The sequence below is a fragment of the Homo sapiens genome, chromosome 1 (assembly GCF_000001405.40).
Source record: "Homo sapiens chromosome 1, GRCh38.p14 Primary Assembly".
Taxonomy (NCBI): Eukaryota; Metazoa; Chordata; class Mammalia; order Primates; family Hominidae; genus Homo; species Homo sapiens.
The window spans coordinates 16374045-16388064 of record NC_000001.11 but is presented as its reverse complement, the minus strand read 5'-3'; the positions used below and the strand labels follow the sequence as shown (position 1 = coordinate 16388064).

Below are 14020 nucleotides of genomic sequence, written 5' to 3'. Positions count from 1 at the left end.
GGCACTAAAATGGAAACCTCTCGCTCCAGCTTGGAACACAGTTGGTGCCAAAGAATGCTGAATGACTGAATGGAAAAGGTACACCAATAATAAGAGAACGACCTGGATGTTTTCTGTGAACTGACAAACACAGACACTCACACAGAATCTATGTCCACTACGTACTCTGTCCTGAAAATGACTGTATTGATGGAATTGTATTAATTCTATTAATACCAGTGTTATTACCTGAGTAAGTACTACAGCTCATATTAGTCTATTGCCTATTACCTTTTAAGGGCTTCTCACAAGTAACTTCTTGTTTTAAAGTTTCATACTGTATCATTTCGCTCCACTCTAAATACAAGACTGCCTATTCGAGTTTCTCCATCATAAACAGAGCCTTGACAGCTGTAGAATTTAGAAGCCTTTGAGGGTTGAGACCAAATGCCTTCATAGACCAGGCAAGCAGCCAAACTCCACTCGCACGGAGCATACCTGGGGAAGTGAAGGGGCTGCAGGGCACCAAAGAGCACTTGCCCTGCCTAATGACGGCCAACAAGCTTTGGCAGACAGGGCCAGATCTAGCGCAGAAGAAACCAAATCAGTATTTTTATGGCAATGCACTGAATTTTCCAACTTCACTATGTGAACTTTCACTTTCATATCGCTGCGAGAGCCAAATAAGACAGAGAGAGAAATGGGCCTCACACATTAGAGTGAATTTGAGAAGTCCCATCCAGGTCTCCTCTGAGGAAAGCAAACTGCTTCCTTCTTCCTCTAGGGTTTAAGGAAGATGGACCATCTGCCCAGTTCCAGCACAAGGAGCCTGGGTGGAAGAAAAGCGCTTCAAGAGGACATCGTAGGCCATGTCTGAGTAAATGCGCCTCTGTCCCCAAACTAGAACATGATTAACATACTTGGCATGTAATATAATACTAATAGCTTTTAAAATAATACCTTATATCGATATAATGTATTATGGCTGTCAACATTCTTCCCCAGACATTCATTTTCTGCTCACACCAGCCCTGTTTGGCAGACAAAGTAGCTTTTATCCTTCTGTCAGATGAGGGTTAGGGAACTTACCCAAGGTCACAAGGTAGTAAACCACAGAGACAGCCCTAGAATTCGCCTTTTGAGGCCCCTATGCTGACATACCACCCTCCCCCGACAATTGCTCAAATCCCCTGGAAATGCCAGTATAAACCATTAGATATTGGTCATCTCCCCCAATTCCACACTGCTCCCTGGCATGCCAAGAACTACAACTCTCATCCAACTCCACTGTGAAAGGCAGAAGAGCTTTATCAGAGCTGGAGAGGGATTCTTCCATAAGATTACAGAATGGGATGGAAACCCAAGCAGCTTTGGTGGAAAGTGGATCCTGGTCATCTTTAGATGGCCAGCTGGACGCCAGCATGCTCAGAGGCGCCCAAGCAGGAGAAGGAATGCTCTGCCAGCAGCTGGAGAGGGCATCGCATCTCCCTCTGGAGTCTGTCCAGGTATCATGAGTCAGTCTATTCTCTTCTCAGACAAGGCCTTGCAATCAATCTGCTCTCAGACTCATGCTCTGAAAAGCTGGACCAAGTCAAAACTTTCCTACAGGGTGTATTACAAGGAAAATGTGCATCTCCCCCAGAGATGCAATAGCCCAATGGAATTAAACAGGCCTCAGAACTTGTGTGGGGAAGCATCTAGATGCAGGCCTGAAATAAGGAATCGTACTACCTAAGGGAACCCTCTCTTTAGACAAGGATGCAGAGTCCTGCCCAAGGTCTAGGCTCCTGTGTTAGAGGCCTGACCTCCATCGCTAGTCAAAGAAAACCATCGCTGTGACTGCTGTGAGTGGGCACAAGGCAAGTGCTAGGGCACAAGCATACCACACAGGGCGGTGGCCAGGAAAGTGATCTCCTATGGCTCCTGCTCCTGGAAAGGCTCTTCAGCCAAGTAGCACCAAGCAGCCCACAGAAGGTGACATTCTGTGTTCCGGGTCCAAATCCTAAGCAAAAGATCTACTGTTGCCAAACCTTGACATCACTTGTCCTATGAGGCTACACATCTACAGAAATGGGACACAAGCTTCTCGGTCTCAGAGAACAAGCAAAGCCAGAAGGAAAGAGCGGAGGCAGGAAATCATGAAGAAGCACAGTGGGGAGGAAGGTGGTTCTCGACAGGGCTGGTCCTTTATGGGAGGTAAAGGAGAGCCACAACCACAAGGTGAATGGGATCAGATGTCAACATTTGCAATTTTAACTCACCAGAGGAGGAAGCTCAGCTTCACTGGCTGCTGATGCCCTTAACCTTGCTATAAATGTGCCTCTGGCTGAAAAGTTAGGGTATGGGACCTAGGAGTACAATGCGGATAAGATCATTCCCAAGGAGGAGAGCAGGGAAGGGGTCACCTCAAACAACCCAGTTTGTTACTGTCACAAGCTACAAAAGGAACAAAGGTGACAAAAGATAGGGATGTGTCTGTAAGGTGAAGCAGATTACAGTGGTAGGTTTACTCCTGTAACGTTAAGAGGTCGATGACAAGGAAAAAAGAAAGGTGAGAAAGGCAGAGGAGAGGAAGAAATAGGCTATTCTGGGTCTTAGTGTAAAGCACAGCAAGTATAAGCACCATTACAGTTGTACCTTCTCAGGTACGAATGTTTACACAACAGCCTGGGGTGATGATGCCCTGGGGGACTGATTCGAACTAGCCAAGCTCACAAGAGACAAAGTGAACAAACTCACACCTGTTACACTACAAGGGTCAGAGGGGGTGTCTCACCCTTTCTGGTGCCTGATCTGCTGCTACCCACTCCCCAAGGACAGCAGGCCTCCCCACTCTGTGCCTCAGTATACAAGCCAAAAGACTGTACTGTCCTACTCCATCACAGCATCCCTCTCTCTGAGAACCGGAATCCTCTGGTCTCCAGTGTCACCAACACGACTCCCAAGAAATAGAGCAATCTTATATTGAACAGAGATCTAAGAGGGACCCTTGCTTTGGACTTTGAATTAGAAAATACTCTTTTATTGGCAACAAGGTTACCATTTAAGTAACTTTTCCCAAATGATTTGCCTTTCTCTGTTAGTTTTCATTTCAGAAGATGACATTTCCAATGTTTCTCTCAAATTCAAAGAATAACAACTGGCCTTGAGCTCCCTATGAATCGCTGCCCCACAGGGTCCTCTGGTCTCATCCTGAATCAGGGTGCACAAGTCTACAAGTGGACCCGGGGAGATCTGAAGAAGAGACAGGAACCTGGAGAGCACAACAGATTTCTCCCAGAATCAGGGTCCCACAGGCCCTGAGTAACACAAAAAGCAAAGGGCAAAGAAAAAAGCAAAGAGAAGAAATAAGGGATAGCAGGCGAGACTACCTTCCAACCTGTTCCGGCCCTGAACTCCCACACAGCCAGCCACGGCCCATGCTAGCCTTATGTCTTCAGGCCTTGGGAGGGACACTGGCGCCCAGGTCCCTGGGCTACAGGGTCTCCTGGTGGACCAGTCTCCCCTGCAAGGGGTCTTGTTTCCCATACCACAAATATGGATGGGATTCTGATTCCTTGGGAATCAGAATTCCCAATTTCACTTGGGAATACAGTCAAAGAATTCACAGGTAGAAGCAATCTACAACAGCAAAATCTGGTCTAAAACTATCAGATAAAAATGTCTCCCGCATCATTAGCCATTTCTTTTTCCCTTTTTTTTTTTTTTTTGGTGGAGACGGGGTCTTGCTATGTTCTCCAGGCTGCTCTTGAACTGTGGGCTCAAGTGATCCTCCCACCTCACTCTCCCAAAGTACTGGGATTATGTGTGAGCCACTGTGCCTGGCCACTGGCCATTTCAAGTTCAGATGTACAATCCATGGACTTCTCCAAACAACCTCCATGTTGATTTAATTCTGTTTCGTCTCTGCCTTGTTTCCATCAGTAGCATAGCAGTGACAGTGTCCTGGCCTGGTATGACTAGGACTGGCCACCTCCAATGCTCCTGTAATTATTCTACTTCCCCTGACTAATCCCAGAGAGGGACACACCCCAAGTCCTATCACCCCAGGTTTGATTTTACAGGGATGCTTCACATATTTTTAAACAATTCACGTATTTTAAAATAATAATCATGTTACAATTATACTATTTTGGACATACTGAGTTAAATTAAAAATATTAAAACTGGCCAGCCGCGGTGGCTCACGCCTGTAATCCCAGCACTTTGAGAGGCCCAGGCGGGCGGATCACGAGGTCAGGAGTTCCAGACCAGCCTGGCCAACATGGTGAAACCCTATCTCTACTAAAAATACAAAAATTAGCCAGGCGTGGTGGCGCATGCCTGTAATCCCAGCTACTCAGGAGGCTGAGGCAGGAGAATCGCTTGAACCCAGGAGGCAGAGGTTGCAGTGAGCTGAGATTGCACCACTGCACTCCAGCCTGGGCAACAGAGCAAGACTCTGTCTAAAAAAAAAAAAAAAGGAAAAAAAGAAAGAAAGAAAAGAAAAAAAAAGAAAAAAATTAAAATTAATTTCATCTGTTTCTTTGTACTTTTAAAATGTTGCTTCTAGAAAATATAAAATTAAGGCTGAGGCAGTGGCTCATGCCTGTAATCCCAACACTTTGGGAGGCTGAAAGAGGAGAATTGCTTGAAACCAGGAGTTCAAGACCAGCCTGGACAAGAAAGTAAGACCTCAACTCTACAAAAAATAAAAAATTAGCTGGGCATGGTGGCACACACCTGTAGTCCCAGCTACTTGGGAGGCTGCTGAAGTGGGAGGATTGCTTAAGTCCAAGAGTTTGAGGCAGCAGTGAGCTATGATTGTGCCATTGCACTCCAGGTGCATGACAGAGTGGGGCCCCACCTCGAAAGAAAAGAAAAAAAAAAGGAAAGAAGCAAGCAAGAAGGAAGGAAGGAAGGAAGGAGAGAAAGAAAGAAAGAAAAGAAAAAGAAAATATAAAATTACCCATGTGTCTTTGGGAGGCCGAGGTGGGTGCATCACCTGAGGTCAGGAGTTCCAGACCAGCCTGAGCAATATGGTGAAACCCTGTCCCTTCTAAAAATACAAAAATTAGCCGGACGTGGTGGCGGGCACCTGTAATTCCAGCTACTCAGGAGGCTGAGGCAGGAGAATCGCTAGAACCCGGGAGGCGGAGGTTGCAGTAAGCTGAGATTGCACCATTGTACTCTAGCAGGGGGGAGAGAGTGAGACTCCGTCTCAAAAAAAAAAAAAATTATCCATGTGGCTCACATTGTACCTTCTGTTGGACAACACTGCTTTAGAGTCTAACCTTAGAAGATGGGTCCCGACTCGGCACAGTGGCTCACGCCTGTAATCCCAGAACTCTGGGAGTGCCGAGGCTGGCGGATCACCTGAGGTCAGGAGTTTAAGACCAGCATAGCCAACATGGTGAAACCCTGTCTCCACCAAAAGTGCAAAAATTAGCCAGGTGTGATGGCGCATGCCTGTAATCCCAGCTGCTCGGGAGACTGAGGCAGGAGAATCGCTTGAACTCGGGAGGGGGAGGTTGCGGTGAGCTGAGATTGTGTCACTGCACTCCAGCCTGGGTGACAGAGTGAGACTCCATTAAAAAAAAACAAAAAAAAAAACCATGTGGCCAGGCGCAGTGGTTCATGCCTGTAATCCCAGCATTTTGGGAGGCCGAAGTGGGCGGATCACCTGAGATCAGGAGTTCCAGACCAGCCTGGCCAACATGGTGAAACCCTATTTCTACTAAAAACATAAAAATCAGCTGGGCACAGTGGCGTGCACCTGTAGTCCCAGCTACTCAGGAGGCTGAGGCAGGAGAATCGCTTGAACCCGGGAGGCGGAGGCTGCAGTGAGCTGAGATCGGGCCACTGCACTCCAGCCTGGGCGACAGACAAGACTCCATCTCAAAAAAGAAAAAAAAAACCCACCCATGCTAGCCCCTGCTCAGCACCCTCTCCTGGTGCTATTTTGAGGTGATATCCATCTTGGCCTACGGGTCTCTACTAAATCTGGCTGTCCACTACCTCTGACCTCATCTCCTACCACTCTCCCCTATCAAGCATGGCCACCACATTGGCCCCACTGTTCAAGACAAAACAATCATGCTCCAGCCTCTGGGCCTTAGCATTTGCTGTTCCCTCTGCCTAGAACGCACTTCAACCAGCTTCTTTCTTTTTGGTTTTGTTTTGCAATGGAGTCTTGCTCTGTCGCCCAGGCTGGAGTGCAGTGGCACGATCTCAGCTCACTGCAACCTCCACCTCCTGGGTTCAAACCTGCCTCAACCTTCTGAGTAGCTGGGATTACAGGCGCCTGCCACCACACCCGGCTAATTTTTGTATTTTTAGTAGAGACAGAGCTTCACCATGTTGCCCAGGCTGGTCTTGAACTCCTGACCTTAGGTGATCCGCCTGCTTCAGCCTCCCAAAGTGCTGAGATTACATGGGTGAGCCACCGCACTCGGCCTTCAACGAGCTTCTAAGCAGCTTGTTGCTGCACTTCTTTTAAATCTCTCTACCTATCTTTAAGAGACCTTCTCTGATCTTTTTTTTTTTTTTTTTGAGATGAAGTCTCGCTGTCGCCCAGGCTGGAGTGCAATGGCACGATCTCAGCTCACTGCAACCTCCACCTCAGGGGTTCAAGCGATTCTCCTGTCTCAGCCTCCCAAGTAGCTGGGATTACAGGCGTGTGCCACCACACCTGGCTAATTTTTTTGTATTTCTACAGAGATGGGGTTTCACCATGCTGGCCAGGCTGTCAAACTCCTGACTTCAAGTGATCCACCCACCTCGGCCTTCCAAAGTGCTGGGATTACAGGTGTGAGCCACCATGCCCAACATTATTTTTTATTTATTTTTTTAAGAAACAAGTTCTTGCTCTGTTGTTCAAACTACAGTGCAATGGTACAATCACAGCTCACTGCAGCCTCACACTCCTGGACTCAAGTGATCCTTCGGCCTCGGCCTCCTGAGCAGCTGGGATTATAGGCATGTGCCACCACACCTGGCTAGTTTTTTTTTTTTTTTTTTTAACGAGCCAGGGTCTTGCTCTGTTGCCCAGGCTGGAGTGCAGTGATGCAATCATAGCTCACTGTAGCCTTGATTTCCTGGACTCAAGCGATCTGCCTCAGCCTCCTGAGCAGCTGGGATTACAAGCACATGCCACTATGCCCAGCTATTTTTTTCTTTAAAAAAAAAAAAAAGATGAGGGGCTGGGTGCAGTGGCTCACATCTGTAATCTCAGCACTTTGGAAGGCCAAGGCAAGTGGATTGCTTGAGCTCAGGAGTTCGAGACCAGCCTGGCCAAAATGGCAAAATCCCATCTCTACAAATACAAAAATTATCAGGTGGCCACGCACGGTGGCTCACGTCTGTAATCCCAGCACTTTGGGAGCCCGAGGCAGGCAGATCACCTGAGGTCAGGAGTTTGAGACCAGCCTGACCAACATGGAGAAACCCCGTCTCTACGGAAAATACAAAATTAGCCAGGCGTGATGGCACATGCCTGTAATTCCAGCTACTCGGGAGGCTGAGGTGGGAGAATCGCTTGAACCCGGGAGGTGGAGGCTGTGGTGAACCGCGATCACGCCACTGCACTCCAGTAGCCTGGGCAGCAAGAGAGAAACTCCATCTCAAAAAAAAAAATAAAAGCCAGGCATGGTGGCACATGCTTGTAATTCCAGCTGCTTGGGAGGCTGAGGCAGGAGGATTGCTTGAACCTGGGAGGATCTCAGCAGTGAGCTGAGATCATGCCACTGCACTCCAGCCTGGGAGACAGGGTGAGACTCCAGCTCAAAAATAAATAAAGAGACGAGCGTCTCTCTATGTTGCTCAGGCTGGTCTCAAACTCCTGCCCTCAAGCGATCCTCCTGCCTCAGCCTCCCAAGTAGATGGGAATACAGCCGCGCACCACCTTGCCTGCCTCTGACCATTTTTTGTAAGATGGCAATTCCACCACAGTCACTTTCTAAAACCCTTAATCTGTTTTACTTTTCTTTACTGAGTGGTATATAAAACACTTACTGTTTATTGTCCATCTTTCCCCAGTAGAAAGTAAGCCTTATGAGAGCAGAAACTTCATTCACTGCATTTGTCCAATGTCTAAAATAGTACCCAACACACGAATTAAAGAACAATCACCAGCCTGGCCAACATGGTGAAGCCCTGTCTCTACTAAAAATACAAAAAATTAGCGGGGTGTGGTGGCTGGCGCCTGTAATCCCACCTACTTGGGAGGCTGAGGCAGGAGAATTGCTTGAACCCGAGAGGCAAAGGTTGCAGTGAGCCAAGACTGCGCCACTGCACTCCAGCCTGGGCAACAGAGCGAGACTTCGTCTCAAAAAAAAAAAAAAAAAACCCCAAATCAACAGGATTTTATAGATATATCTTGATTTTACAAATGAAGAGGAATCAATTCAGATAGGTTATATAATTTGACCATGGTTCCACAGCTAGTATGAAGTGGAGCCAGAATTTGAACTGGATCTATCTGGATCCAGTTGACAAATGACACTATCCATATTCAAAATAAGAGCTCAGGCTGCCTTAGGCATTTCTTGGCAAAAAACAGGTATTACGTCCTCCCTTTACCACCTCTTATCTTCGCTACAACCTGTGGAGCGTCCAGCAGCCTTGCTGCATACCCGGAAGTTAAGTGATTTGCCTCTGACTGCACAACTATGCACAACTAGTAAGTGACAGAACTGAACCCTAAGGCAGGGCGTAGTGGCTCACGCCTGTAATCCCAGCACTTTGGGAGGACGAGGCGGGCGGATCACGAGGCCATTCTGGCTAACATGGTAAAACCCCGTCTCTACTAAAAACAAAAAATTAGCCGGGCGTGGTGGCAGGCACATGTAGTCCCAGCTACTTGGGAGGCTGAGGCAGGAGAATGGCGTGAATCCCAGAGGCGGAGCTTGCAGTGAGCCAAGATCGTGCCACTGCACTCCAGCCTGGGCGACAGAGCGAGACTCCATCTCAAAAACAAAACAAAACACAACTGAACCCTAAATCTCAAGAAGGGGAAGCAAAAATGTTCAGGACACTGGCAGGCAGGTGGCATCAGGAGCTAATAAAGTAGGATATAAGGAGGTCGGGCACAGTGGCTCACACCTGTAACCCCAGCACTTTGGGAGGCCGAGGCGGGTGGATCCCCTGAGGTCAGGAGCTCGAGACCAGCCTGGTCAAAATGGCAAAACCTCCTCTCCACCAAAAATACAAAAATTAGCCGGGCGTGGTGGCACGTGCCTGTAATCCCAGCTACTCGGGAGGCTCAGGCAGGAGAATCACTTGAACCCAGAGGGTGGAGGTTGTAATGAGCCGAGACTGCACCACTGCACTCCAGCCTGCAAGACTCCGTCTCAAAATAAATAAATAAAGTAGGATAAGGGCTGACAGATAACAACATCCCAGCCTGCTGCTACACCTCAGGCCAGGTCAGTGCAAGCCCAGGTTTCCTAAGGCCTATAGCAGTAACAGACAAAAACAGCTGACTCCCAAGGCCCCGATCTTAAAGCTATAAATAAGTTGCCAAAAGCACGGTGGCTCAAACCTGTAATCCCAACACTTTGCGAGGCCGATGTGGGTGGATCACCTGAGGTCAAGAGTTCAAGACCAGACCGGCCAACATGGTGAAACCCTGTCTCTAATAAAAATACAAAAATTAGCCAGGTGTCACGGTGGCAGGTGCCTGTAATTCCAGCTACTCGGGAGGCTGAGGCAGGAGAATTTGCTCAAACCTGGGAGGCGGAGGTTGCAGTGAGCTGATCACACCACTGCACTCCAGCCTGGGCGACAGAGCAAGACTCCATCTCAAAAAAAAAAAAAAAAAAGAAGTTGCCAAACAGAAATAATTCTTCAGCAGCAACCAGGCCTAGCAGTTTAGATGTATCCCAGGCTAGAAAGCCTCAAAAACTTTGTAGATGCCATCTTGAGACAATGTATTGTTTTGAGTGCCTCCTCAAAGGGTCTCCATGCCGGAGGGATACACTCAGCCCTATACCTGAAAGTAACGGGATAGGCAGATGTAATGGTGAAGAGTCTTGCCCTGGAAATAAAATGGGGTCGAATCTAATGGGGCTCCTGCTTTCTCTGTGTTTCTGTAACTGCTTCTCCCTGTTGATTTTCGTACAACACTAAGCAATACAATTCTCGGAGGAGAGTATATTAGTCCTCAGGGGCAGCAAGAAAGTGACCCTTCAGCCAGTCTTAGGAATCCTGAACCCAAACCAGATAGAGGCTACACTGTGAGTGGCTGGAGAGCCGGGAACAATGCCTTCACACTCAGAGCAATGGCACTCTCGGCTCCCACATCCACCTGTGAATGACGCTTTACTAAGTGTTTTAACTCTCACTACCAGGCAAGGCAAATTCTATTAATTCAGTTTTACAAATTAAGAGATTGATGTGGACAGAAGGGTAGGTAGTGATTTGTCCAAAAATCAGACCAGGCATTTAAATCCCAGTCTTCTGACCTATTGCCATTAATGGAGAAAAGTAGGCCGTTAACTGGCAGAGAGAACCTATCCTTTCTTGCTTTTTTTTTTTTTTTTTTTGAGACAGAGTCTGTCTCTGTCATGATCTTGGCTAACTGCAACCTCCACCTCCCTAGTTCAAGCAATTCCCCTGCCTCAGCCTCCTGAGTAGCTGGGATTACAGGTGCACACGACCACGTCCCGCTCATTTTTTTGTATTTTTAGTAGTGACAGGGTTTCACCATGTTGGCCAGACTGGTCTTGAACTCTTGACCTCAGGCAATCCACCCGCCTTGACTTCCCAAAGTGCTGGGATTACAGGTGTAAGCCACTCTTGCTACCTTTTATAATGACTGCAAGGCTCCTCTCCCAAAGGAAATACCAGGCATTACTGACTTTGGAGGATGAAACAAAGACACTATTAACCCTCATCCACCAGATTTCACTTTAACACCCAAGGGTGCCCTCATCAAATCCCAGTTAGAATCGCCAGCACTCAGCAGGGGTGGCAAACACAATGCCTCCAAGCCCAAATGGCTAAAGCAGGCAGAATGGAACACAAGAGGTAACAACAGGTAAAGGAGGATTGCAGGGGAGAGCAGAGGAGAGGACAGCAGAGAGCAGCCAACAGCCGGTAAAGGCATTCAAGTTCAATATTTAAAAATCCTGCCGGCTAGGTGCAGTGGCTCACGCACCTGTACTCTGAGCTACTCAGGAGGAGGCTGAGGTGGGAGTATCACTTGAAGCGATCTGAGTTCAGATCAGTCTGGGTAACAAGGCAAGACCACCGCCCCCTCCATTTAAAAATCCTGAGCAACGTTTTTTTTTTTTTTTTTTTGAGACAGAGTCTCGCTGTGTCGCCCAGGCTGGAGTGCAGTGACACAATCTCAGCTCATTGCAACCTCTGCCTCCCAAGTTCAAGCGATTCTCCTGCCTCAGCCTCCCAGGTAGCTTGGGTTACAGGCACCTGCCACCACACCTGGCTAATTTTTGTATTTTCAGTAGAGACAAGGTTTCACCATGTTGGCCAGGCTGATCTGGAACTCCTGACCTCAAGTGATCCGCCTGCCTCGGCCCCCCAAAGTGCTGGGATTACAGGCGTGACCCAATGCGCCCTGCCCAATAATTATTTATGTTATCTTTTTCCACTTGGCCAAATGTTAAAAAGTTATTTCTCATTTATGATCAAGATTTCGACCAGCATCTCACTTGTAGTCACTGTTCTTAGCATTATAACTGAGAGCAGGATTATCGCTTGGCTCTTCAGCACTGAGTTCAAATTTCTCAGATGCAGTTTATGAGCTCATGCAGGCTACAGAGGCAGGAGGTCAATCCCAGGTGAAAACAAATGAAATGCTTCAAAGGAGCTAGTAACTAAGCATCCTAAAGCACTTAACTAGTTAATTATCTGGTGAGAAGCAAATGTAAACAAATTGCTCCAAAAAAGGTCCCTCAGAGTGTGGGCTCAGGCCTAACAGCCAGGGCTGGACCGACCACATGATTTCCTCCCCGGACCAGGAATAATAGCACCTACACCTCACAAGGTCACTGCTAATGATTGTAAAAATGCACTCCCCCTGGGCTGTAGGCAGCCATACAACATATATCTTAGAAGCTCTTCCAAAAAGGGCCCGAGGAACTTGGGAGCTTCCCACAGGCTGCGCGCTTGTTCGCCAGTGAGATGAACAACTAGATAGCAGAAACACTACTGACATATGGAAGGTCACAAATGTTTTTATAAGCTAGGAAGGGCTGGGCTGGGAATTGTTCTCAAGGTCAGTGAAGAGTGGTGACAGTCCTGACCTTTCCAGACTCAAGTCATACTTTCCTTCTATACAATCTCATCTAATCGCCATGGCCCCTGAAGAATGCAATTTTAGCTGTACATATTTATTATTCCTTTTAGAAAGGAATGACTGTTATTTCCTGTGTTCCTTTTATAAGGGAACGAGTTTGTTGGGGGGAGGGGCTGGCTTACTGTGATGGGCATTTTGAAATGTCTCACCGTCAAGGACAAGATTCTCTGTCTCGGACCGGGCGCGGTGGCTCACGCCTGTAATCCTAACACTTTGGGAGGCCGATGTGGGCAGACTGCCTGAGCTCAGGAGTTCCAGACCAGCTTGGGCAACATGGTGAACCCGTCTCTACTAAAATACAAAACATGAGTCGGGCATGGTGACATGAGCCTGTAGTCCCAGCTACTTGGGAGGGTGAGGCATGAGAATTGCTTGAACCCGGAAGGCAGAGGTTCAGTGAGCAGAAATTGCGCCACTGCACTCTAGCCTGGGTGACAGAGAGAAACTCCTTCTCAAAAAAAAGAAAAAAAAATTATCTGTCTCCATACAGACTATTGGGGTTTGTTGCTAATTTCTGTGGGGCATGGTTTTACCTTAATATCCTGCACAGAGCTAGATGTTAAAGAGAAGGATGCTTGGTAGGAGCAAACGGTTTTAAGAAAAACACTCAAAGGCCAGGCGTGGTGGCTCACGCTTGTAATCCCAGCATTTTGGGAGGCCGAGGCGGGCGGATCACGAGGTCACGAGTTTGAGACCGGCCTAGCCAACACAGTGAAACCCCATCTCTACTAAAAATACAAAAATTGGCTGGGTGTAGTGGCGAGCACCTGTAATCCCAGCTACTTGGGAGGCTGAGGCAGGAGAATCGCTCGAACCCGGGAGGCAGAGGTTGCAGCGAGCTGAGATTGCGCCACTGCACTCCAGCCTCGGCGACAGAGCTAGACTCCGTCTCAAAAAAACAAAACAAAACAAAAACACTCAAGAAGAGAAATCTCTATGGATACTACATTAAAATTTTTTTATTTTATTTTATACTTTGGCCACAGATTTAAGTAGCTAAACTCAACCTTCTCCTAGGAAACCAACAGGTCAGTAGTTTTCCTGACAGAACACACCTTGTAGAGGCTAGCTACCTGATACAGCCAGAAACTGATGCTAGCTGTCGGGGCCAACAGCAGTGGAGAGGTGGAAACTGGAAAGGGCTGGCCCCTGGAATGTTTTCAGTCATCAGACCTAGACAACTGTGACTTTTCTCTGCAGGACTGCACCAACAGTTTTAGAAAGACGCACTAAATCCTCTCCTGTCATAGAAGTAAAAACAAGAAGGCCTGTGATTGCTGGAATTTCTAGCCCACGGCAACCATGGCAGCTCTCTTGATACCCAGAGCACGCTGGGAACAGGCCCTCCCATGCAGCCAATGAAAAAAGGGCTGAGAAGTTACTAGTGAAAAGCTCATTATCCTCCTTTCTTTGAAGCCACAGTGAAACCAACCTTTTTCCAGAGTCCCAGGGACAGACTGCTCAGCAGAATCATGCCTAAACTGCCCAACTGCTTCACAGAAAGCCCCTTCTGAGGACATCACAGTCCATAAGGCTCAACCTTTCCAGAAAGACTAGCACCAACTGAGAGGTGGCCCCTTTAGGCATGGTGTATCTGGAACTGTGCTTTCTGTGATACCACAAATCTTAAATGCCTTCTTTTTACTGCAGGGACAGACATAAAGAAATCAGCACCAGATAGCCCCAAACTAATTGATCTCTTTTTTCCCACTACCCATAGCCTTTTTTTGTTGTTTTGTTGTA

General features: G+C 47.7%; 1 protein-coding gene across 6 annotated transcripts in view, besides 4 other annotated features; it reads right to left on the bottom strand.

Annotated features, from left to right (window-relative positions):
* Positions 1-14020, bottom strand: part of SZRD1 (SUZ RNA binding domain containing 1) — a 30904-nt gene that overhangs the window by 10081 nt on the left and 6803 nt on the right. Inside the window, exon 2 of one of the 6 annotated variants that reach the window (NR_073501.2) lies at positions 940-1010. The exons of the other annotated variants lie outside the window; for them this stretch is intronic. The gene's annotated coding sequence lies outside the window, so the exon portion shown is untranslated. The remainder of the gene's footprint in view (positions 1-939; positions 1011-14020) is intronic. 6 annotated transcript variants of the gene reach the window in all.
* Positions 1483-1983: an enhancer, noted in NCBI's record as "H3K4me1 hESC enhancer chr1:16712577-16713077 (GRCh37/hg19 assembly coordinates)". NCBI's record gives its function as "activates a minimal SCP1, AML or CMV promoter by ChIP-STARR-seq in naive H9 embryonic stem cells {active_cell/tissue: H9 hESC(naive)}" and the evidence as "EXISTENCE:reporter gene assay evidence [ECO:0000049][PMID:30033119]".
* Positions 1984-2484: an enhancer, noted in NCBI's record as "H3K4me1 hESC enhancer chr1:16712076-16712576 (GRCh37/hg19 assembly coordinates)". NCBI's record gives its function as "activates a minimal SCP1, AML or CMV promoter by ChIP-STARR-seq in naive H9 embryonic stem cells {active_cell/tissue: H9 hESC(naive)}" and the evidence as "EXISTENCE:reporter gene assay evidence [ECO:0000049][PMID:30033119]".
* Positions 7042-7541: an enhancer, noted in NCBI's record as "H3K4me1 hESC enhancer chr1:16707019-16707518 (GRCh37/hg19 assembly coordinates)". NCBI's record gives its function as "activates a minimal SCP1, AML or CMV promoter by ChIP-STARR-seq in primed H9 embryonic stem cells {active_cell/tissue: H9 hESC(primed)}" and the evidence as "EXISTENCE:reporter gene assay evidence [ECO:0000049][PMID:30033119]".
* Positions 7542-8043: an enhancer, noted in NCBI's record as "H3K4me1 hESC enhancer chr1:16706517-16707018 (GRCh37/hg19 assembly coordinates)". NCBI's record gives its function as "activates a minimal SCP1, AML or CMV promoter by ChIP-STARR-seq in primed H9 embryonic stem cells {active_cell/tissue: H9 hESC(primed)}" and the evidence as "EXISTENCE:reporter gene assay evidence [ECO:0000049][PMID:30033119]".